The sequence below is a fragment of the Homo sapiens genome, chromosome 6 (genome assembly GCF_000001405.40).
Source record: "Homo sapiens chromosome 6, GRCh38.p14 Primary Assembly".
In the NCBI taxonomy this organism is placed as follows: domain Eukaryota; kingdom Metazoa; phylum Chordata; class Mammalia; order Primates; family Hominidae; genus Homo; species Homo sapiens.
In genome coordinates this window covers 75,978,513-76,001,635 of record NC_000006.12, presented here as the reverse complement: position 1 = coordinate 76,001,635, position 23,123 = coordinate 75,978,513, and the positions used below count along the sequence as shown (strand labels likewise).

Sequence of the window (23,123 nt, the reverse complement as noted above, 5' to 3'; positions counted from 1 at the left end):
CAAAGCTGTTGGCTGGGGGCCTCATTTCTTCTCTACACAGGTCTCTCCACAGGGTTGCTTGGGTTTCACCACAGCATGGTAGCTGAGTTCAGAGTGTCAGTATTCTAATATCTTAAGGGCCTAAAAACAGCATCATTTCCTCACATTCCAATTGCTAGGCAGCTGCAGAGCCCATCTAGATTCAAAGGGAGGGGACATAGAGCTTCTCTCTTGATGGGAGAAGTATGGAAGAATTTATGCCATTTATAATTAACCACAATCCATATCAACCACTATTTTGACATCCAAATTATTTTAAGAGTTGTTTGGACAAAACAAAACAAAACTTTTCATGAAATGATTGATCTTAAGCACTCACTGAATACTTTTCTTTCATTCTATCATAAAACTTTCTTATAAGATTAGCATTTCAGGTAGATTAATAAAAATAATAGTATATCTATGATGAAAGCATTATCTTATTTCCAAATTGCCTTACTGTTTCCATTTTATTTATACATTCCTTTTACTCATGAATATACCATAGAACACTAAAGCTGGAAGAAATCTTAGAGATAATTTGGTTAAGCTTCTGTGTTTCACAAATGAGAAAGCCAAGGCTAGAAATGTGAAGTGCCGTGTTCAAGGTCATATCATAGCTTGCGGCACAGCCAGGATCGTTATTCAAGTTTTCTACATCTATTATACTATGTTTGGCTTAAGTAGCTCCATCCTTTGCAAAAAGCATAACCTCAAACTTGCTTTGCCCTCAAACCACAGCCTCTTCTCTCTCTATTTCACTACTCTGTCAATTTTTCTAAATTGTCTAGGCTTCTGAGTCTCTATTATGTCACCTCCTAATCACCACAGGGTTTCACCTCTAACCCATAAAGCAGGGATGTAACTTTCACAAAAGTCACAGATGACTTCCTAATTGATCAATTTAGCAGTCTCATTTCCATCCTCTTTTCATTTGACATTTCTGGCACGTGACTCTTGTTAACCACCCCGCTCTTGAAACTCCTACATCTGGGCTTCCACAAAGTGACTCCTTCTTGGTTCTTCTCATATACCCTACCTACTACTCCTCCATATCCTGCAGTGTGGCTTATCATTAAATTTTTTTAATTTTGCTTATTAAAATCCTACATCATTTTAAAAAAGATTTATAGCGATTTACAGACATGGATCCATACAAAAAGATTTTGTTTTAAAGAATGGAAAGAAAAATGGAAGAGAAAATAAAACAAAGATTACTCCTTTAGTGAAATGGAAGTGTTTGGGAACTAGATTGAGGTGGTGATCACACAACATTGTGAATGTGCCAAATGCCACTGAATCATTTACCTTAAAATAGTTAATTTTATGTGTTATAAGTTTCACATCAATAAATTTATTAAAATAAGATAACTCTGTAGGAAAAATCATATACAAAATAAACATCATAGAGTTCAGTAGGTTTGCTTTAGATGCTTCATGATTTGACTCTGAGCTTCTTAACAGGCTGTGTAAAGAGGAAAATACAATTAGTCACCTAATATAGATCTGCATGCTTACAGCATGGTAATTGCTTAGGAGAAAAATTTATCTGCTGAATTCTCATAAGGAGGACAGTCTCGGTTATAGTACCATGTCCTGTCCACATGAACCTTCCTGCTGTGTAAAACCAGTGTCAAGTGTTTCCTTTAAGGCCCTCCCTGGACATGTGCAATGAATGCCAAAGCCAAGTTCATTACAGAAGTTCCAGGAGGGGCTAGGTGCTGACAGTCTGCCTTAATTCAAGAATTGATTTTGCATTATTTAGAGGAATAGCTGTGCTGTCTAACCTTCAGTCAATGCTCTATAAGTAGAAATTATATCTCATATTTGAGCTTGTGATTTGTATTGAGCAAGAAGAGTTATATTTGCTGACCTGGACCTAGAGTGCAAATATTCCACATTGACAAGAGCAGATCCATATGCTTTCATAATCAGCCCAAATGGGAGTAGAAATGACATATCTTAATGAAAAATGGAAACCCTAACTGGGAAACATTCGTGATAAAAAGACAGTTATACATGGAAAACGGAAAACAGAAAACAAACAAACAAAAAAAAAGTGCAGGGGCACTCTGGACAAGAGCAAGCCTTCCCTCCCTCATAAAACAGTTCTGGCCTTTTCCCATGTACAGGTAAAATGAAAATTAGGGCTCCAAAATCCTGCACCACAGTATTACTGAGATAATTTTAGCCTGGAAAATTTTTAAGGTTAGTGTCACCAAACACCCACCAGGCCATTAAAATCTCTGTAAAGCACTCAAAGAAATCTTTCAGCTTCAGCAGTTTAACTTAGTAGTTAATTCTGAGATAAAGTTCTTGCAAAATATGCATCTAGGACACTAAAAGAATTGGTATGTTGTATAGAATTGTGGGGTCTTCTATTGTTACTGTTTTTTTGTAGTAGCTGATCCCAAGCCATTCTTTTTTGTAGAGCCAGTTATCTGTTAAGATCACTCCTATCGGCCGGGCGCAGTGGCTCATGCCTGTAATCCCAGCACTTTGGGAGGCCGAGGCAGGCAGATCCCTTGAGGTCAGGAGTTCGAGACCAGCCTGGCCAACATGGTGAAACCCTGTCTCTACTAAAAATACAAAAATAAGTCAGGAGTAGTACTGCATGCCTGTAATCTCAGCTATTCAGGAGGCTGAGGCAAGAGAATTGCTTGAACCTGGGAGGCAGAGGTTGCAGTGAGCCAAGATCGCTCCACTACACTCCAGTCTGGGTGACAGAGCAAGACTCCATCTCAAAAAGATCACTCCTATTTCATAAAAATGAGTCATCCACATATAGGAGAAACTTGATATTCTGTCCTCCACACAACATGTATCCAACTTGTTCAAAAATAGTATTAATTCACAGGGTAAAAATTTTTTGTGGTTTGGTTTGGTTTAGACGTGTAGGCGGCAATACATTTCTCTTTTAGTTGATTAGAATGATCATCTGGTCTATCAGGAGAGAAGTTCTTTAGTGTCCTCCCTCCCAAATTGCAGACTTTTTCACTTGCAACATATTCCATTTAAGACAGAAACCAGGTCTCTTAATAAATTGCAGTATTTTAAGTGAAGAAGCAAACTTTAAGCAGAGCTACTGTACTATTGGACATTGCTTTGTCTTTTATTGCCCATCTAGGTAATATGTTAAAATTAGCACATTTCCAACTTTTCTTTGTCTCATCTCAGCCTTTGACTCCATCAGAAGGAATCCGTGACATGAGCTAAACTGAATGATCTCAATGTAAAACCAAGCTGCTAATGTTCCATGTGGTCAGGGACAGCCGTCTGTCTCTATTCATTCCTATATTGGCAGTGTCCAGCCAGATGCTATATTAAAAATTAATACATGTTAAAGGAATTACAGCAGTGAATGAATGAATTTGTATTACAATATCTCCATGAAAGTCAGACTTTATTGGAATAATCTAGTTCCCTTTTTAATCTGTCTAGTAAAAAGCTTAGAGCCAAATCAATGTTCTAGAAGCAGTATTTGGCCATCAGTTCTGGTCACACCACTCACCATTGCCAAAATTTGTCATTCATTGTCACGTTCTTGTGCCTTTACACAGTTATTTTTTCTTGTGCCTGTAATAGTCTTCCATTCTTGCAGCTTGATGACCTCCAACTCATATTTTAGTTTCAGCTAACATGCTACTTTCTCTGTGAAGTTTTCCCCAACGGCTCCCTGAAAAGGATTTATAATTACCATCTGTTCCCTGATTCCACAGCAAAAAGTCATCTAGACTGCCATCAAACATTTCAATTCAATACAGAATTGAAAGTATTGCTATGCATGTCTGGAATCCCTCCAAGACTGAATTCCTGAAGTAAAAAGATATGTTCTTATTCCTTTTTTTAAAATTCCTGTGCTAAGCACAGTGGCTGGCATATAATTGCAGTTTCATAACTATTTGTCACTGCTGTCGACCTTGTTGGGCCTATCAGTACTATCATCTCAGACAGTAAATGCCTGGAGGATATGTGCCCTCCCTGTGCTGGTACCCACGCAGCTCCTCAGACAGCCTCACGTGTAAGGCAATGTCCCTTATTGGTAAATACTTTCATCAAAATAAGAGTGCTGAAGAAATTTAATCAGCTCCACCTCATGTGATGTACCCACTACCACATTGATTAAACGTAGGTATGCAGGGAAAGAAATTTGCAGTTAGCCTCTCTCCCAGCCCAAAAATGTACACTTCCTAACTCAATCAGGAAGGCTTGGCAAAGATGTTATTTAAATTGCTCCACTTTAGGATGAAAGGGTAAAAGTAAGACTTGAAAGAGTTTTAAGAACAACTCAGCCGAACTGAGTTTAGGCAACAGTGGTCAATATTTTTGCCTGTTCTTTCTTACCAGGGAGCAAGGTTTTCCTAACAGAAGTTTATTGCTTATAAAAATTATTCAGAGAGGTCTACAAGAAAAATGTCATCTAAAGAAAAGAAAGAATGGCCATTCAACTAAGACTTCCAATTTCACCTCATCCCTAGATACAATCTTTATGATGCCCAGGAAAAGATGAAAAGTGAATCAAAGTTCTTTCAACTCTCAAATTTGGTACTTCTAGATTTAGCCTAGAAATGTCAGGTGACTTAATATGTCCTTCAGAATTTCAGTTTGGGAAATTCAGTACCCTCCCTCAAATTTTGGCAATTCCCAAGAAAATTTTTCTGACTTTCTGCCCTCTAGTGAAGAGATATTATTCCATCTGCCTTTTTGAATCTGTTCCCGTCTTTCACTCCCTCTTCATTCTGGAGGTGAACAGTCTAGATTTCCATAATTATTCCTCATCACCATTCAGAGATGATATTTCTATGAGTAGATCAACTTTATTGTGGGTTGAGGTGATAAGGACAGGAGGAAGCCATAGTGCAGCACCACCCAGTCACCAACCTCAAGTTATTACATAGCTGTCCTGTCTTGACATGTCAGTCACATCCTTTGCTGGAAAGTTCTCCCTAGCCAGTGCTATCTTGGTCATTCCCTGTTGCATCATGATGTTAAGCCCTCATTCCCTCAAAGCCCTCCTCATGACCACCCTTTTTCCAGGCTGCTCCCAACTCCTTTCCCAAGTTACAGTCCAGTTTTTATGAAGAGTAGTGATCTGTTTAATCTCTTTCCAACATTATACTGAACAGAGATCACCTGTTTCTAAGATAAATCCTGCCTCTTATGCGGGGATAAAAGCAGTTAACGGTGGTTGTAGTTAGAAATTGCATCTTTCTCTTCCTTCCATGCTGATACTCCTTCACATGAATACAGGTACATATTCAGATAATAGTGTGTACCAAGCAGTTTTCAGTAACTCTTGGTGACTTTATCTCACCTTGAAGCCATTGTTTCTCCTTTTTCTTTCTCAGGAGAGTTCTCTCCCTCACCTCCCTTATATCATGTAAGTCCATTCTCTGGCTTTGCCCCATATGCCACTAGTGCACGTTGATTTCCCCAGGGGTCCCATGTAGATTCTCTGCACATCTTTAGATGGGAAACCGTTCCATCACAGGTGAATTCCAGGGGCACTGTAGGCCACAGATTCAAGCAAACTCTTTATGTTCCAGGACACCACAGAGTAAAAAGGACTTCAATGAATTACCTTAATTACCAGTGGCTCTCTGGGATGCTGTGATCATTCATTTATTCATTCAACAAATATTTATGTGGTGCTTATTAGGCACAGGGGATAAGTTGGTGAACAAGGCAGATATACTTTATGCCTGTCATGATTTGGGTTCCCCCAAAACAGACCCCGAAACAAGGATTCAATTACAAGGAGTTTATTTCAGGGATGATACCAGTAAATTCAGTAAGGCAATGGAGAAGTGAAGTGCAGAAAAGAAGGAAACCAATACAACCAATTACCCCGTGACCACTGAAGCTCGTCAGTGATGTGCTAGTAAATGCTTAACAGCCAATCTAAAAACAATGTGGAATATATATGCATAGAGAAGTTTATTATAAAATTTTGCTGATACAGAGGATATGTAACACAATTTACAAATAATAAAATACACAGTATTCCTTATTATAAATTCTATGTAGCCAATTGACTCTCTTAAGGAAACAATGTTTAAACTGAGATCTGAACGACAAGAAGGCAAAAAATAAAAACTGAGGAGGGGTGGTGAAGGGTATTTTCAGCAGAGGGGAGTAGCTGAAGCTGGCAGTGGTGTGGCACATTGAAGGAAAGTGAAGAAAGCCATCGTAGCTAGAGCACAGGAATTTGGAGAGAAAATGGTGAAGCTCTAGAAGCATAGAGCTTTATAAGCCCTGCAAAGAATCACTAAAAGGTTTTAAGAAAAACAATGACACCTCAAATTTAGGTTTAAATAGATCCTTCTGACTATATTGTGGAGAACTGGCTGGAGGTCAGCAAATGCAAGCAATCAATTAGAAGAGTCTTAACGGTAATTCAGTCTAGAAATGTTGATAGCTAGGACATTGGTGATGGAAGGAGAGATGAATAGAAGTGAATTGATTTTATTGGTATTTAAAAATTAAAACCAACATAAATTCTGAATCCATGAATGGATTCAGCAAGAAAGGCTGGCCTGATTGATGAATAATGTCTGTACAGGCTCATTAACAGAAAGTGGTAATATATGTGTCTGCAGTTTCTGTACCAGGTCAGTGAACTGGTTTTAGCCGTGCCTCTCAGGTGTTCAAATATTGCCCTCCTCTTACCTCTTTTTAGTCAGTGGTTAGTGAGCACATCCTAGGAGATGCTAGCCTTTGCTAGTTCTCAGGTCTTTGACAGGGTCAGTTTTTTGCTTCCATCCTTTTTTGTTAGCTCACATCCATACAAAGGAAAAGACTGGTAAGTATCTAATATGGTTTATATGGTTTTGCTGTATCCCCACCCAAATCTCATATTGAATTGTGGCTCCCACAATTCCCATGTGTCATGGGAGGGACCCACCCAGAGGTAATTGAATCATGGGGGTGGGTCTTTCCCGTGCTGTTCTGTGATAGTGAATAAATCTCACAAACTCTGATGGTTTTATAAAAAGGAGTTCCCCTGCCCAAGCTCTCTCTCTATGCCTGCTGTCATCCATGTAAGACGTGACATGCTCCTCCTTGCCTTCTGCCATGATGGAACTGTGAGTCCATTAAACCTCTTTCCTTTATAAATTACCCAGCCTCAGATATGTCTTTATGAGCAGTATGAGAACAGACTAATACAGTATCCATTATGAGCAGTACTTTTCATTGAACTATCCAGTATTTTACAGAAAAAAGCAGAGGTTGATAAACACAGGAAATAGATAAATAGGTAAATGGAATGATTCTAGGGATTCAAGATTTCTATCTCAGACCTTCTTTAGGAAACTGTCACCCAGATTACTTTAAATCTATTGAGCTAGAGGCAGCTATGCATGCTTTGTCCTCCTACACATCCTGATTTAGAGGTTTCATTCCAACGGCCCAGTGACTTTTGTTTTGTTTTGTTTCCCAATTTCAGTTTTGGGTGTTTGGCATATTTTTCACTTTGGATTTAGCATCTGTATTCTACCCCTTCTTGTTTCTTCAAGTGGACCCTAACACACTGCAGGAGTGGTATTTGTATCCTGCTAACTCTAGCTGAAGTGCTAGCACCTCACCAGTGCCAGAAAACCAGCACACAGCAGCTCAGGCCAGGAGGAGAGGCTTGCACCATGCCACAGAGCTCTGCAGCCCCTCACAGACTACCTGGAAGCTGGCTTGGTTCTGTTTCCTTTCACACTTGCTGGCACTGAAACAGTTAGGACAAACCTATTGAGCGCTATTCTCTGATCATCCCTCAGTAGTAAACAGCTCTAATGACAAGGAGAACAGCCCTGCTTGAATAAACTTTTAAATGCTTTTCAAAATTAAGCCACTGTGACTATTTTAACAAAAATCTTAAATCTTAAAAATATATCACTCAGTTATCATGTGTGGAAAATTGAGAACGTTTTTTGAGAAAGGTTACTGTAAGACTTAAGGAAGAAAGACCTAAATCCCCACTGTGATGGTATTTGGAAGGTAATTAGGTCAAAGGTAAGAGCCTTTGGGATGTAATTAGGTCATGAGGGCCGAGCCCTTATAAGAAGAGACAAAAGAGGGATGATTTCTCTCTCCCTTTCTCTCTCTCTCTTTCTTTCTCTCTCTCTCCCTTTCTCTCCCTTTCTCTCTCTCTTTCTCTCTCTCCTTTTCCGCCATGTGGGGATACAACTAGAGGACAGCTGCCTACAAACTAAGAAGAGTGACCTCACTAGACACTGGTTTTTCTGGTGCCTTGATCTTGGACTTCATGGCCTCCTGAGTTGTGAGAAATAAATATCCATTGTTTGAGTCATTGATCTATGGTATTCTGTTACGACAGCTGTCAAAGATGTAATCCCAATTTAAATACCAATGCCCCGTTACATATGTCTGTGATGTTTCCGAGGCCTAAATTTGGGGGTAAATTGAAATTTCATATTAAGAACTATTAACAACTAATAGTTGTTAATAACTAATTAACAACACCAGAATTTCCACATTCACTATTCTTTGTTCAACAAGCACAAAGTCTGGCTCTGAAAAGGAAGATTAAGTTCACAAGAGACCTCAGTACACTTCCCATCTATTTCCTTTATTCAAGACCTACACATATGAAATAGTGAACAATGTAAGATGTTATGTATAAAATATAAATACTACTTTAACTTTACATAGACTAAACAGAGGTACATAATTATTTTAGTTCAGAAGAGGAGAAAAACAGTGAGAAGCAGAGATATCAAAGAAAGCACTCATGGAGCTTTGCTTGGGTTGAGAAGGGTATAAAGGACTTTCGTGAAGAGAAAGGAGATGACCCTCCAAGTATAATAAGTTTCATAAGCAAAGCTGCAGAGACTGGAGTGAGTTTCAGGGAAGAATGCTGAGAAATAAGTAGGGGAAGGATATATATCAAGCAGGGCCTTAAAAGTCAGAAAAAGGAGTTTGTTCTGGGCTTTCAGAAAATGAAGGTGGTAATGAAAATGGGGCTTAGGGAAAGTTTGTCTGCCTACAGCTTGGTAGGTGAAAAGTAGGAAAGTGGAGGATTTTGTTCTGTATTTGGTGTGAAGCTTTGGGGGCATGGATACAAAGGAAGGAAGGAAGATGATACAAGAGATATTTTATTTAAAAAGTAAAATAAACCAGGGACTACTTTGGATAATGGTGGATGGAGAAGGATAGGTCAAAGAGTCTGGATCACCATGAAATGAAACACCCCCATGGTCATCTATGTTATACACAAGACACCAAATTTCTTTTCATGCTGGAGTTGAACACCTGCTGTTGAATTTCATGCTGGAATGGAACACAATGAGAAAGAGAGAGAGGGAGAGAGAGATTTATTTAAGGAGCTGGCTCATATTATTGTGGAGGCTGGCAAGTTCAAAATCTGAAAGTTCAAAGCCTGCAGGTGGCAGGCTGGAAAACCAGGGAAAGTTGCACTTTGATGCAGTTCTTGTTGCAGTCGATGGTCCGAAGGCCATCTGCTGGCAGAATTCCCTTTTCCTCTGCAGACATCAGTCTTTTTCCTATTGAGGCCTTTAGCTAATTGGATGAGGCCCACTCACACTATGTAGGGTAATCTGCTTTACTCAGAGTCCACTGATTTAAATGTTAATCTCATCTTTTAAAATACCTTCACAGAAACATATACAATAATATCTGGGTACTGTGCCCTAGCCAAGTTGACACATCAAATTAATCATCACAGTATGTCTTGAATGAGCTCAGCACAGTCGGAAAAAAACAAGGTGCCTTATACGTTATGTCAGTACCATATATGCAAAGACAGAACTGGAACAGACAAAATCAAGTCACAATTCAACAATCTGTCTGGTGCAAAGAGAAAGCAGGTTTGCCTGACAGGATGCACTTAATTATAATATAAAAGAATGTGTTTGTCATTGATGGTAATAGGTGTCCATTCTTGAGGAACTGGAAGGAGCTCGTAGCAGAAGAAGAGAGGACAGGAAATATGCACTCAATAATGGAAAGAGAATAGAGAGAAGGTTGTTCAGAAGGGGGCTGGCATAGGTTAGGTGGTCAAAGTGGCATCTAACCAGTTCCACAATTTTCCATTCTCCCATTAATCACTTCTCAAGTGATCGAGACATGGTGTTTTCATAGCTGCAAGGGTTTCTGTATCATGTTCCCTTATCTGGACTCAAATGAGGTAACATCACAGTTAGGGTGAGAAGTCAAGTGTGTCTGCCTCTTTTGCCTTTTTTTTTTTTTATTTCCAAGGCAGAGTCTTGCTCTGTCACCCAGGCTGGAATGCAGTGGTGCAATCTTGGCTCACTGCAACCTCCGCCTCCCGGGTTCAAGCGATTCTCTTGCCTCAGCCTCCTGAGTAGCTGGGACTGCAGGAGTGTGCCACCATGCCCAACTAAATTTTTGTATTTCTAGTAGAGATGGGGTTTCACTGTGTTACCAGGATAGTCTCAATCTCCTGACCTCATGATCTGCCCACCTCGGCCTCCCAAAGTCCTGGGATTATAGGCGTGAACCACCGTGTCCATTTTTACAGAAAGTGAGAAGCATCCTTCATGCAAATGGTTTGAGGCCAGAGAATAACCAACCACAGACAAAGCCACCTGTGAGACTATGAGGAAGAAATGTCACCTTGGGTTCCATTGTAGGGAATTGCATTAGTACAGGTATACAATGTGATCAGCATTTTAATCAGAGAAGTAGTTCTTGCTTTGAGGGAAAGTGACATCTTCGAAGTCCTAAGGTAGAAATAAAAAGAATATCTGTAATGGATTGGGGGGCATGGATAGAAACTCCTGTGAATAATCTCCTTCAGTTTTTACATTTTAAGAAAGTGAAACAGCATTTGTGAAGGTGTCAGTAGATTGCAAGTTGCATGCAGTTGTCAGTTTACAGGAGGGGAGTCTACACAGGCAACTAAGCAACCTTCTGGAATTGTTATGCACTTCTGCTCAAAGTGACGGGTCACATCATCCATCTGACCTTAAATATGTAAAAGGCAGGAAAATGAGATTGTGTATGTGTGTGTGTGTGTGTGTGTGTGTGTGTGTGTAGAGGTGGGGTCTCCTAATGTTGCTCAGGCTGTTCCCAAACTCCTGGGCTCAAGCAATCCTCCTGCCTCAGCCTCCCAAAATGTGGGGATTATAGACATGAACCACCATGCCTGGCCTGGGAAAATGAGAGTTTCATCTTTAAATAGGTCCCATCAATCTCAGAGGGAATTTAACATTTTGACTATTGAGTAAACCAAAAGATAAGAGGATTTTCAGCTTCTTCTTCTATTTTTCTTCCACGGCAATGAATGAGATAGAAAAATAACTCTTCATTGCTAGTTGGCCCGTTCTCTGTATTGTCAGGTTAAGTAAAATCCTTGCCAAATAATGTGTTTTAGCAGGAGCTTTATGCAATTTGAAATGCTGGAACAAGTGCTAATCCACAGAATTGTAATAATATGCTTACTAAATATCATCTAAAGTCAGCATTTCCAAAACTCGCCATACTTCATTGATAGGGATGAAACAAATGAAAGCACTTTCAGAGAAGTAAATGAATACATCTATTTGTTTTTGTAAGTTTGTTTATTTGCTTTGAATGACCATATGTTTATTGGTTTTTGGTTTATTTCATAAATCGTATATATTTAAGGTAACAACATAATGCATTAATATACATATATATAGTAAACTTATTACTACAGTCAAGCTAATTAACATTCTATCTCTTCACATAGTTACCTGTTTTGGGTGTGTGCTAAGAATACAAGATCTACATATAATTATTTTATTTTATTTTATTATTGAGACCAAGTCTCGCTATGGCACCCAGGCTGGAGTACAGTGGAGCGATCTCAGCTCACTGCAGCCTCCACCTCATGGGTTCAAGAGATTCTCCTGCCTGAGCCTCCTTAGTAGCTGGGATTACAGGCACACGCCACCACACCCAGCTCATTTTTGTATTTTTAGCAGAGACAGGGTTTCACCATGTTGGCCAGGCTGGTCTCAAACTCCTGGCCTCAAGTGATCTGCCCACCTCAGTCTCCCAAAGGGCTGGGATTACAGGTGTGAGCCACCATACCCGGCCAAGATGTGCATATGCTTAGAGTTTAAGAAAATATACTCTTTAGATCCTCAAACCAATCTTCATTCTATGGGATAGCAAGTTTGCCATTGATTTAAGGGCTTTTCATGAGAGTTTGCAATAATTTTGTCAGACTTTATATCTGGGACATTCTTGAATGATCTTTCAGTAAATTTCTTCAACTTGGAAAGCCAGAGTATCTCAAGGGAAGCAAATTATGTGCCTCCCTTTTTGTTTTAAGCATCTTATGTGTGTTAAATTTAAATAGATTTAGTTGTACATGATGCTGTACAGTATTCGAGAAACAAAAATTAGCCAGGCACAGTGGCACATGCCTGTAATTACTACTCGGGGGGCTGAGGCAGGAGGATCGCTTGAGCCCAGGAGTTGGAGAATGCAGTGAGCTATGATCATGCCATTGCACTCCAGCCTGGGCAACAGTGTGAGACCTTGTTTCTAAAAAGGAAAAACAAAATGCCAGAAATGTTACAGCTGAGAGAACTGGCAGTGGTAAGGAGGAAGAAGACCAGAGGAAGGAAAAGTGAGATAGAACAAAACTGAAATCGCTAAAAGGGCCTTTTAATGGTGGGAAACATTTATTTCAATCATTGGATGTGAAGGGCAACAGAAGAGGGTTGAACAAGGCTTAAGACCTTGGAGGTAGACCAGTAGTGAGGGGTACTGAGCAAGACATCCATAAAAGACACAAACATCAATGCTGGGGACACAGTGGCTTCCTGGAAAGGAAACTGGAACTGCAACTTGGGCATTTCCCTGGGAGAAGCGATTTAAAAGAGTAATGTTTCATGAAGAACCTGAGGTGGGAAAGAGGACCTGCTAGTTCAGGGAAAGGAGGCAAGCAGAACTAGTTAAAGGAAGCAGGTTCATCTTTTAAGTTGGACAAAGCCAGACTGCTATTGTGCTGTGTACCTGTAATCTGCTATCTTTCTTATAAGTTTCACTCATGATTTCCACATTGCTCCAAGGGGCTGAATATTTTCAGTGGTATCCCATAGAAATAAGAGTGAGAACACCAAAGGGCTAATATCTAGAATCTACAAAAAACTTAAACAAATTTACAAGAAAAAATCAAACAACCCCATCAAAAAGTAGGCAAACGATATGAACAGACACTTCTCAGGAGAAGACATTTATGCAGCCAACAGACACATGAAAAAATGCTCATCATCACTGGCCATCAGAGAAATGCAAATCAAAGCAACAATGAGATATCATCTCACACCAGTTAGAATGGCGATCATTAAGAAGTCAGAAAACAACAGGTGCTGGAGAGGATGTGGAGAAATAGGAATGCTTTTACACTGTTGGTGGGACTATAAACTAGTTCAACCATTGTGGAAGACAGTGTGGTGATTCCTCAAGGATCTAGAACTAGAAATACCATTTGACCCAGCCATCCCATTAGTAGGTATATACCCAAAGGATTATAAATCATGCTGCTATAAAGACACATGCACACATATGTTTATCGTGGCACTATTCACAATAGCAAAGACTTGCAACCAATCCAAATGTCCATCAATGATAGACTGGATTAAGAAAATGTGGCACGTATACACCATGGAATACTATGCAGCCATAAAAAAGGATGAGTTTGGCCAGGTGCGGTGGCTCACGCCTGTAATCCCAGCACTTTGGGAGGCCGAGGTGGGTGGATCACGAGGTCAGGAGATCGAAACCATCCTGGCTAATATGGTGAAACCCTTTCTCTAGTAAAATTACAAAAAAAAATTAGTCGGGCCTTGTGGTGGGCGCCTGCAGTCCCGGCTACTCGGGAGGCTGAGGCAGGAGAATGGCGTGAACCCGGGAGGCGGAGTTTGCAGTGAGCGGAGATCGCACCACTGCACTCCAGCCTGGGTAACAGAGTGAGACCCTGTCTCAAAAAAAAAAAAAAAGTGATGAGTTCATGTCCTTTGTAGGGACATGGATAAAGCTAGAAACCATCATTCTGAGCAAACTATCGCCAAGGACAGAAAACCAAACACCGCATGTTCTCACTCATCGGTGGGAATTGAACAATGAGAACACCTAGACACAGGGTGGGGAACATCACACACCGGAGCCTGTGGTGGGGTGGGGGCAGGGGGGAGGGGGAGGGACAGCATTAGTAGATATACCTAATGTAAATGACGAGTTAAGGGGTGCAGCACACCACCATGGCACATATATACATATGTAACAAACCTGCGCGTTGTGCACATGTACCCTAGAACTTAAAGTATAATTAAAAAAAAAAAAAAAGACTGTGTGTCAGACTGAAGTTCAACGATCCTTCCCATCTTCCTGGGCAATGACAGAGGATAAAAAGTCGTAGGAGGCCTTGGCTGAATTTCAGCTCAGGTCAATCTTTTCACTGAACACCCCTCCCAGTGAGGTTTTTTCTTTCTTAGGCAAAGAGGAATTTAGGCCTCGCCAAGGAAACACAGGAAACTAGTACTGCAATACCTAGGCCTTAACTGCCCTATTCAATATGGAAAATGGAACCTGCTGCTTGGCATGACTCAACTGTGAGTGCCCTTCATTCTAGGCTAAAAACAAAAGAAAAAACTGATTGTGAGAAAAGTTTCCTGAGATGTAATTATAAGTTAAAAGTCTCATTTATGGTGCAATTTGATATATTGTTTCATTATATATGAAAGGTACAAAATTCTCCTGTTTCATTAGAATCATCTGAGATTTTGTTGGTTTGACTGCCTGTTTTATTTGTTTTCTTTTTGCTTTTAAGTTTGCAGCCTTCACATACAAACTAATGTATTTCTCATTTCATTTCTCCCCTAGGGAGTCTCATTTTTTTTTTCCTCATTGTTAACATATTCTGCTTTCTCCTATGCAGGCTGGGCAAGAGATCCAATTTGACACTTTATGCAGTTTATGGTAATATTCCAGTAATGATATATTTCAGCCTTCATTATTGATAACCACTTTGCTTGATAAGGACAAGTTATATTACCAGCATCATTCTCCTATACGGCCATTTTCCCAATTTCAAATTTTTCTCACAAATTCATGCTCAGCAATAAAGTATCTTTCTGCAGATCCCCTTCTAGATCTGAGCCTTCAGTGTCCTCCATCAATTCAAAACCAATTTGCCCATGATTTGATGTATCTGTTTTTCTCCCCTCAATCTTTATTATAATAGTTATTAAGACCTTCAGTCCATAGTGGGATTTTTTTTTCAATTCTTAGAATACTTTTTCATGAATTCCTATGCAGACTTGCCTGACTCTCTTTCTTCTTCCTCTTCACCTAATCTCAACACACCTTGTGTGTAACGTGCACCACCCAAGTAGGGCTGGGATTAGAGTGAAGCAAGTAAGGCACTAGTGTCAGGTGCAAAATTTAAAAGGAGCCAAAACCTCAGGACTCAAGATAATATGTAAATGTAATATTTTTAAAAATTAAAGTACCAAAGTACCAAAAAAAACCCATGGTACATGGTTCATCATTTACCATGATGAACACATGTCAAAATTGTAAATAAGGATAGGCTGTTGTTTGTTTTATTGCACTATTTTGTGACAGGAGCAGTCATTTCCAATCTGCCCATGGTTCCTGGCCTGTGAGGCTCTTTCATCCCTCTTCAGGTGGGTTTATAAGGGTTGACATGGGCACCAACAGATCAGGCAATGTGAGACTTCATATATTGTTATGTTTTCTTTTATTAATGCATTAGCACTTTTATTAACTTTTTCTTTTTGGTTCAAAATATGAGAGAATATTTTGATAAGTGCATATAGAGGTGCACAGTTTCCCTTTTGCCTCAGAATTCAGTATGGCTCAGCACAAACCGAAGGAAGTCTCACTAAAACCAGGTCCTATAAAGGAACTGCTCTCCAAGCTTTGTCCAGCCTGGAGCCAGATAATGGAATAGTAGGATTGAAATAGTCCATAAAACAACATAAGCAATAGATACAGAGTATTTATGAGGATGACAAAAGGATTTGTTTTAAGTCACTAAAGCATTCTCTTAGATGAGAAATTTATTAATTTTTTTCATGTATTGATTGAAATATAAATACTTTTTAGCAGAATTCTGCAATTGGCTTCTATTTTTTTTCTTCTCTAATGACTCAGCCAATCTGTTTAAAGTTATGATCTCTGATCTGGTCCCACCTGGAAAATGCTGGCTACCTGTGTGTATTCCCTAGCCAGACAGTTCTGCCTTTCTCTGCCTCTTTAACCATACAAATGTGGTGTCTGGGACACCCTTGTTCTCTGCCTACTGCATCCTCTCTGCCAGGGGCAGCATTTTAAAGTCCCTTTTTGGTGGGAAGGTTCCCTTCCTTAGTTGATCCATATCATTCAGAATCTAACCAGAAAAACAAAACCACTTCAGACATTAGGTTGCCATATTCCAGACCAAAATCACAAATATCAGGAATTTCAAATGGCTCAAACTATTGTTTACAAAAAAAGAAATTTATCTTTATTTGTTTATATTTAAATGACAAAAATTGTATATATTTATTGTGTGCAACATTGTGTTAGGCTGTTCTTGCATTACTATAAAGAAATACCTGAAGCTGGGTTATTTATAAAGAAAAGAGATTAAATTGGCTTGCCGTTCTGCAGGCTGTACAAACATGGCACCAACATTGGCTTGGCTTCTGGTGAGGGTCTAGGGAAGCTTGTAATCATGGTGGAAGATGAGGTGGGAGCAAGCATGTCACATGGCAAGAGTGGGAGCAAGGGTAGGGGAAGTTGCCATGCTCTTTTAAACAACTAGATCTCACATGAACTACCAGAGCAAGAACTCAATCCTAGCCAAGGGGATGGCACTAAGCCATTCGTGAAGGATCTGTCCCCATGATCCAAACACCTTCTCCAGACCCCAACTCCAACACTGGGGATTCACATTTCAACATAAGATTTGGAGGGGATAAATATCCAAACTATATCAAAAATGATATTTTGAAATATGTACACATTCTGTAATACCAAAATCAAGCTAATTAACATATGCATTATTTTGCATACTTATCATTTATTTGCAGTAAGAACACTCTCTACTTGTAAGAATTCAACTTTTTAAAAATTCCTCATACAGTGTAAGTCAGATCATATGGTATTTGTCTTTCTGTGCCCGGCTTATTTCCCTTAACATAATGTCCTTCAAGTTCATCCATGTTGTTACAAATGGTAGCATTTTCTTCTTTTTTAAGACTGAATAGCTTTTCATTGTGTGGACAATTTTGTTTATCCATTCATTTGTTTTAATGGACACTTAGCTTGATTCCATATCTTGGCTTTTATTAATAATGCTACAAAGAACATGGGAGTGCAAATATCTTTTCAACATATTGATTGTATTTGCTTTGTATATATACCCACTAGTGGGATTGCTGAATAACATAGTAGTTCTATTTTTAATTTTTTGTGGAACTTCTGTACTGCTTTACTTAATGGTTACACTAATTTACATTCCTAAGAACAATGTGCAAATGTTCCCCTTTCTCCGCATCTCACCAGCACTTTTTACCCTTTGTCTTTTTGATAATAGCCATTCTAAGAGGTATGAGGTAATATCTCGTTGTGGTTTTAATTTGCATTTCCCTGCTGATTAATGACGTTGAGCAGTTCTTCATATACCTGTTGGCCATTTGGGTGTCTTCTTTTGAGCAATATCTGTTTGTGTGCTTTGCCATTTTTTAGTCAGGTTATTTGCTTTTTTGCCATTGAGTTTTTTCAGTTTCTTATATATTTTAAATATTAATTGCCTTTCAGATATATGGTTTAAAATATTTTCTCCCATTTCTTAGGTTTATCTTCACTCTGTTTCCTTTGCTGTGCTGAAGGTTTTTAGTTTATGTAATCCTGTTTGTCTATTTTCACTTTTGCTGCCTGTGCTTTTAGAGTTGTATCCAAAAAAATCATTGCCCAGACCATTTTCATGGAGATTTTCTCCCTTGTGTTCTTCTGGTAGATTTAGAGTTTCAGGTTTTACATTTAAGTCTTTAATCCATTTTGAGTTGATTTTTGTATATGGTGTGAGATGAGGGTCTAATTTCATTCTTCTGCAGATGGATAGCCAGTTGTCCCAAACCATTTATTGAAGAGACTGTCCTTTCCCCATTCTGTGTTCTTGGCAACCTTGTCAAAAATCAATTGGCCTTAAATGTGTGCATTTTATTTCTGGGCTCTCTATTCTATTCCACTGGTCTGTATGTCTGTTTTTATGCCAGTACCATGCTATTTTGATTACTATAGCACAAATACACAGGTCATTGTACTTCAAAACTGTCCCTTTATTAGCTGCACTTAATTAAAAGAGAAGGCTCTCTCCCTCTGTATTAATTCTAAAGTTGCTATAGGATTGCTTATTCATTATATTGCTTAGTATTTTATTGAAATTGATAGATTTGGGTGCACCAGGGATATATCTCCTTGTGCACCCAAATCTATCAGTTTCAATAAAGTACTAAACTGCATAATCATTTGAGATAGTTCCCATTTAGTGCTGACATCTTCTGGATGTAGTTATCCATTTTAGCTGCACTTGAATTGCAGCAATTTCACTCTATCTTTTTACACTAACTCTTACCCATTTTCTTGTTTTCCTCTGCCCCAGGGACATTCTCTAGATGAAGGGATGACTGACTAAATGGATGGAGGGATGGATGATAGCAGATGAATGGATGTTAATGATAATGATTATGTCACTAGATTTTAAAGATGAGGGTGTTCCTCACCCTTTCTTTTGGTGACAGTAGAAACTATATAAAGTGCTATGGTTAATGCAGAATCATAGCTACAAAATGTGAACCTCCTCAATGTAACATTTTCTCTTCAAACCATAGTTAAAATGTTACATTAAAAGTAAAAAGAGGTGATTTGCTCAGAAAAATAGTCATTATTTGGGCATTCTTTGTTGCAGGTGAGGAGAGTTGTTTGAATATATATATACACACACATATATATATACACACACATATATATATACACACACATATATATATCTATATATATCTATATAGATATATAGATAGATAGATAGATAGATATACACATTTTTTTTTTAAGATAGAGTCTCGCTCTGTCACCCAGGCACGATCTCAGCTCACTGCAACCTCCGCCTCCCGGGTCAAGCAATTCTCCTACCTCAGCCTCCTGAGTAGCTGGGATTACAGACATGTGCCACCATGCCTGGCTAATTTTTGCACTTTTAGTAGAGACAGAGTTTCACTATGCTGGCCAGGCTGGTCTCGAACTCCTGACCTTGTGATCCACCCACCTTGGCCTCCCAAAGTGGAATACATTTTCTTTATTCAGATGGTAAATAACAGTCTGTTGCCTGAATTATTCAGATTTTCTTCTTAACGTTCACATGACCTCAGCATTCAGGCTTTGCAGAATGCTATAAATTCTTCCCCCACCACCACCTTCATCCTACAATATATCCTATAAAGCTGAATTTTTAATGGCTTAATGTTAATATATGATTAGGCTATGATTTCTTCAAATACAGTTTGTTTTCCTTAATCCTGAAAATTTCTCAAAATCTTCTGTAAAATAAAAGTGGAAGAAATATCATATTTTAAATAGAATTGTCTGTTCCAAGGGCCTGAAATTAATCAGGCATGTAATGCACTAAAGGCAGCTCAAGTACCTTTTGTAAATCACTTGAGGATGAGTAATACTTAGAAATTTGGGTTTGAAATAGCTCCTTCTGGAACTACTAAAGTGTCCCCCAAAAAGTTGATGCTTCTAAACTATCTTTTAAAAACAGACATTTAGAATTAGTCTCTTGCATTCTTTCCTTCTTTGCACTCAACAATTCCCTCTAGCTGATAGAATGTGATGTGCTGTAGCAACATCTTCAAAACATGTATTTACAGAACCAACTTACAGAATGCTTTGACGCAGGAAGTGATTATTTGAAGTGGCTGAAATACAAATGTCTTCTATGACTGTAACTTGGCAAAAGCACTAAAAACTATCTTACCAGTTCTCTTTTTATGAGGGATTTATATTCCATTAACATCTAAGCAAAGAAAGATGTTGACTAGCTTAGACTGACAACACCTGGAAATTCAAACATGATTTTTCACATGTATTTGCTTTTTAACAAGTTCTTCAGCTATACAGCAGAAAAAGTCATTTATTTTTCCCAAATGACACTCCTTGATGTAAAATGCATTTTAAATGTCAAATGGAAGAACGCCTCTAAAGGAACTTCAATGTGATCACATTATGGATTTTTTACTCATCGGAGTTCAAAGCTACTGACTAAAGTTGAATTTTCTTCCCTTTAATTAAATTAACTCTAAAGCAGCATTTCCTCTTTATGGACTTTACTAGATTTTGGTATTAAGCATAGAATGTTTGTGTGGTTCTTCTTGACTTAAGACTTTACCAGCAGACTATCTATAATGAAAAGACACCTGTGGATCATTAGGATGTAAGAGGCTTGAGGGCAGAAGAAAAATGCTGTAGTATATCCTCCACAGGGGCAGATCAGGACCAGGGCTGCATCGCAGTGCTTCATCACTAAATTTCCCCATGACAAATTGTGGAACCTTTCCTCTACCAGTGTTCTCAAACTCTTCCATGAATCAGAATCCCCCAGAGGGCTTCTTAAAACACTGACTTCTGGGCCTTACCTTCAGTCTTACTGACTTAGTAGGTCTGGAGTCAGGACAAATTTGCATTTCCAACACACAGGGTTCTCTAGAGGGACAGAACTAATAGGATATATGCATATATGAAAGGGAGTTTATTAAGGAGAATTGGCTCACATGATCGCAAATTGAAGTCCCACAATAGGCCATCTGCAAGTTGAGGAGCAAGGAAGACAGCCCGAGTTCCAAAACCTCAAAAGTAGGGAAGCCAACAGTTCAGCCTTCAGTCTGTGGCCAAAGGCCTGAGAGCCCAAGTCCAAGAGTCCAAAAGCTGAAGAACTTGGAGTCTGATGTTTAAGGGCAGAAAGCACCCAGCACAGGAGACAGATGAAGGCTAGAAGCCTCAGCAAGTCAGCTTCTCCCACCTTCTTCTGCCTGCTTTATCCTAGCCACGCTGGCAGTTTTTGGATGGTGCCCACCCAGATTGAGTGTGGGTCTGCCTTTCCCAGCCCACTGACTCAAATGTTAATCTCCTTTGGCAACACCCTCACAGATACACCCAGGAACGATGCTTTGCATCCTTCAATCCAGTCAAGTTGACAATGTTAACTATCACACCTGTATATTATTAATATCCTACTGTCTTCCATGTGTTTGCACACGCCATTTTCCTTTCCTGATATACCTTTAAACCTCATGTTTAAGTCTTTTCAGAAAAATGTTTCATAAAGTTTAATTTACAGTAAATCAGGATGGATTATCTTTTATATATACCTAATGTATACTGCCCTCTATTTCATATTCATAAATCCAATTTCTCCTTCAAATTTTCACATTTTGTGGCACATCTTTTTAAATATCCACCATTCCGTAAGTGTGTGATCATGTCCGAAACGATCCTGCTTGAAGCATATTAGGCATAGTTGATCAGACCTACTCTTCAGGTGGTACCCGAGTAGCTAATCCCCCAATACAATACAGTGTGGAATCAGATTTTCATTTCTCATCCTTTTTTCAATCTGCTTTTTCTTATTTCAAATACTTTGACTCTTCAGTCTTTCAATTTCTCCATTTGCCTTATTAATTTCAGCATTAGCCTCACAAAGGCCTGTGGTTTAACAGGGTGAGTGGCTCTTCTGAGACAAAGTTCATTGTTAATAAATACAGTTACTCTTTTGTTGTGAAATTTTATGAGGAATATAAACAATGCTTTTGCTAAATTGGCAGAATTGCTATCATTAAAATATCCCTGATGTAATTTTCCTTAACTCAAAACTTCTACAGTCTGTGTTTTCATTGCAAAAATGAATATCTGGACTCCTTGCTTGGCGTTTACTAAAATATCAGCTTCTGGACTCTCCCTAACCAAACTGGGGTGAGAAGGAGATTGTTAGTAGACCTGCCTTTCTCAGCACTTCAAGACAGTTATACCACTTGGGAAATGAGATAACAGTGGTTTTGAGATCCATTATTGACAATAGAAGACTGTCCTTTCTTTCATATAATGTGTTAGGAAATCCACATGCCCCTGATCAGCAGGGCCATTGTCCTGTGCAACAAGTGGCATTAATTCACAAAGGTTCAGCACTGCCACTTCATTGGATGTCCCCTCTCCACACCCCTTTTCCATCCACCTCTACACAACATATATTGGCTGTAGCACCTTGCCAAGCTACCAACTGTCTTTTGAGACTATGAGTATATTGCTCCAATGTCAGCCTTATTGAGGACCTCATCACTGATACTATATTAAGAGTTTATTAATCTTGGTGGGGTGCAGTGGCTCACGCCTGTAATCCCAGCACTTTGGGAGGCTGAAGTGGGCAGATTCCTTGAGCCCAGGAGTTTGAGACCAGCCTGGGCAACAGGGTGAAACCCTGTCTGTACAAAAAGTAGAAAAAAAAAATAGGTAGGTATGGTGGCACACACCTGTAGTCACACCTACCTGGGAGGCTGGGGTGGGAGAATTACCTGAGCCCGAGGAGGTGGAGGCTTCAGTGAGTCATGTTCATGTCACCGCATTCCAGCCTAGGCAACAGACAGAGACCTTGTCCTCCCCACCCCCCAAAAAAGTGTTTATCTTTCTATGCCACAGTTTGTCTATCTGCAGACCGGGGATAATAATACCTTATAAATTGGCTGTGACATTTAGGTATAATGTACACCAAACGTGCTCAATAAATTGGAGTTGTTGCAGTATTTTTAACTACTGTAATCACCTGAGGAAGGGAATATATTTATCTTATTTATTGTTATTGCCCCAGTGACTTGCAAGTACATGGAAAATAGTAGATATTCAATAATTTTTGTTTAACAAATATAAGAATCCATACCCAAATGAATGAATGAAGCCTTGGCAAAGAGGAAAACAACAGCTTTTGGCTCTTTTGTGGAAATAAAAGGGGTATGTTAAGGAAACTGAACTTTAGTACTGAACCTGCCATAGTTAGTTTTGAGTAGGAGTTTTCATTT

At 39.1% G+C, this 23,123-nt stretch overlaps 1 protein-coding gene across 2 annotated transcripts in view, besides 2 other annotated features; it reads left to right on the top strand.

The window, feature by feature from the left end:
* Window positions 1-23,123, top strand: part of IMPG1 (interphotoreceptor matrix proteoglycan 1) — a 151,549-nt gene that overhangs the window by 71,027 nt on the left and 57,399 nt on the right. The window lies entirely within an intron of this gene.
* Window positions 7,794-8,484: an enhancer, noted in NCBI's record as "OCT4-NANOG-H3K27ac hESC enhancer chr6:76702869-76703559 (GRCh37/hg19 assembly coordinates)". NCBI's record gives its function as "activates a minimal SCP1, AML or CMV promoter by ChIP-STARR-seq in naive H9 embryonic stem cells {active_cell/tissue: H9 hESC(naive)}" and the evidence as "EXISTENCE:reporter gene assay evidence [ECO:0000049][PMID:30033119]".
* Window positions 14,290-14,833: an enhancer, noted in NCBI's record as "NANOG hESC enhancer chr6:76696520-76697063 (GRCh37/hg19 assembly coordinates)". NCBI's record gives its function as "activates a minimal SCP1, AML or CMV promoter by ChIP-STARR-seq in primed H9 embryonic stem cells {active_cell/tissue: H9 hESC(primed)}" and the evidence as "EXISTENCE:reporter gene assay evidence [ECO:0000049][PMID:30033119]".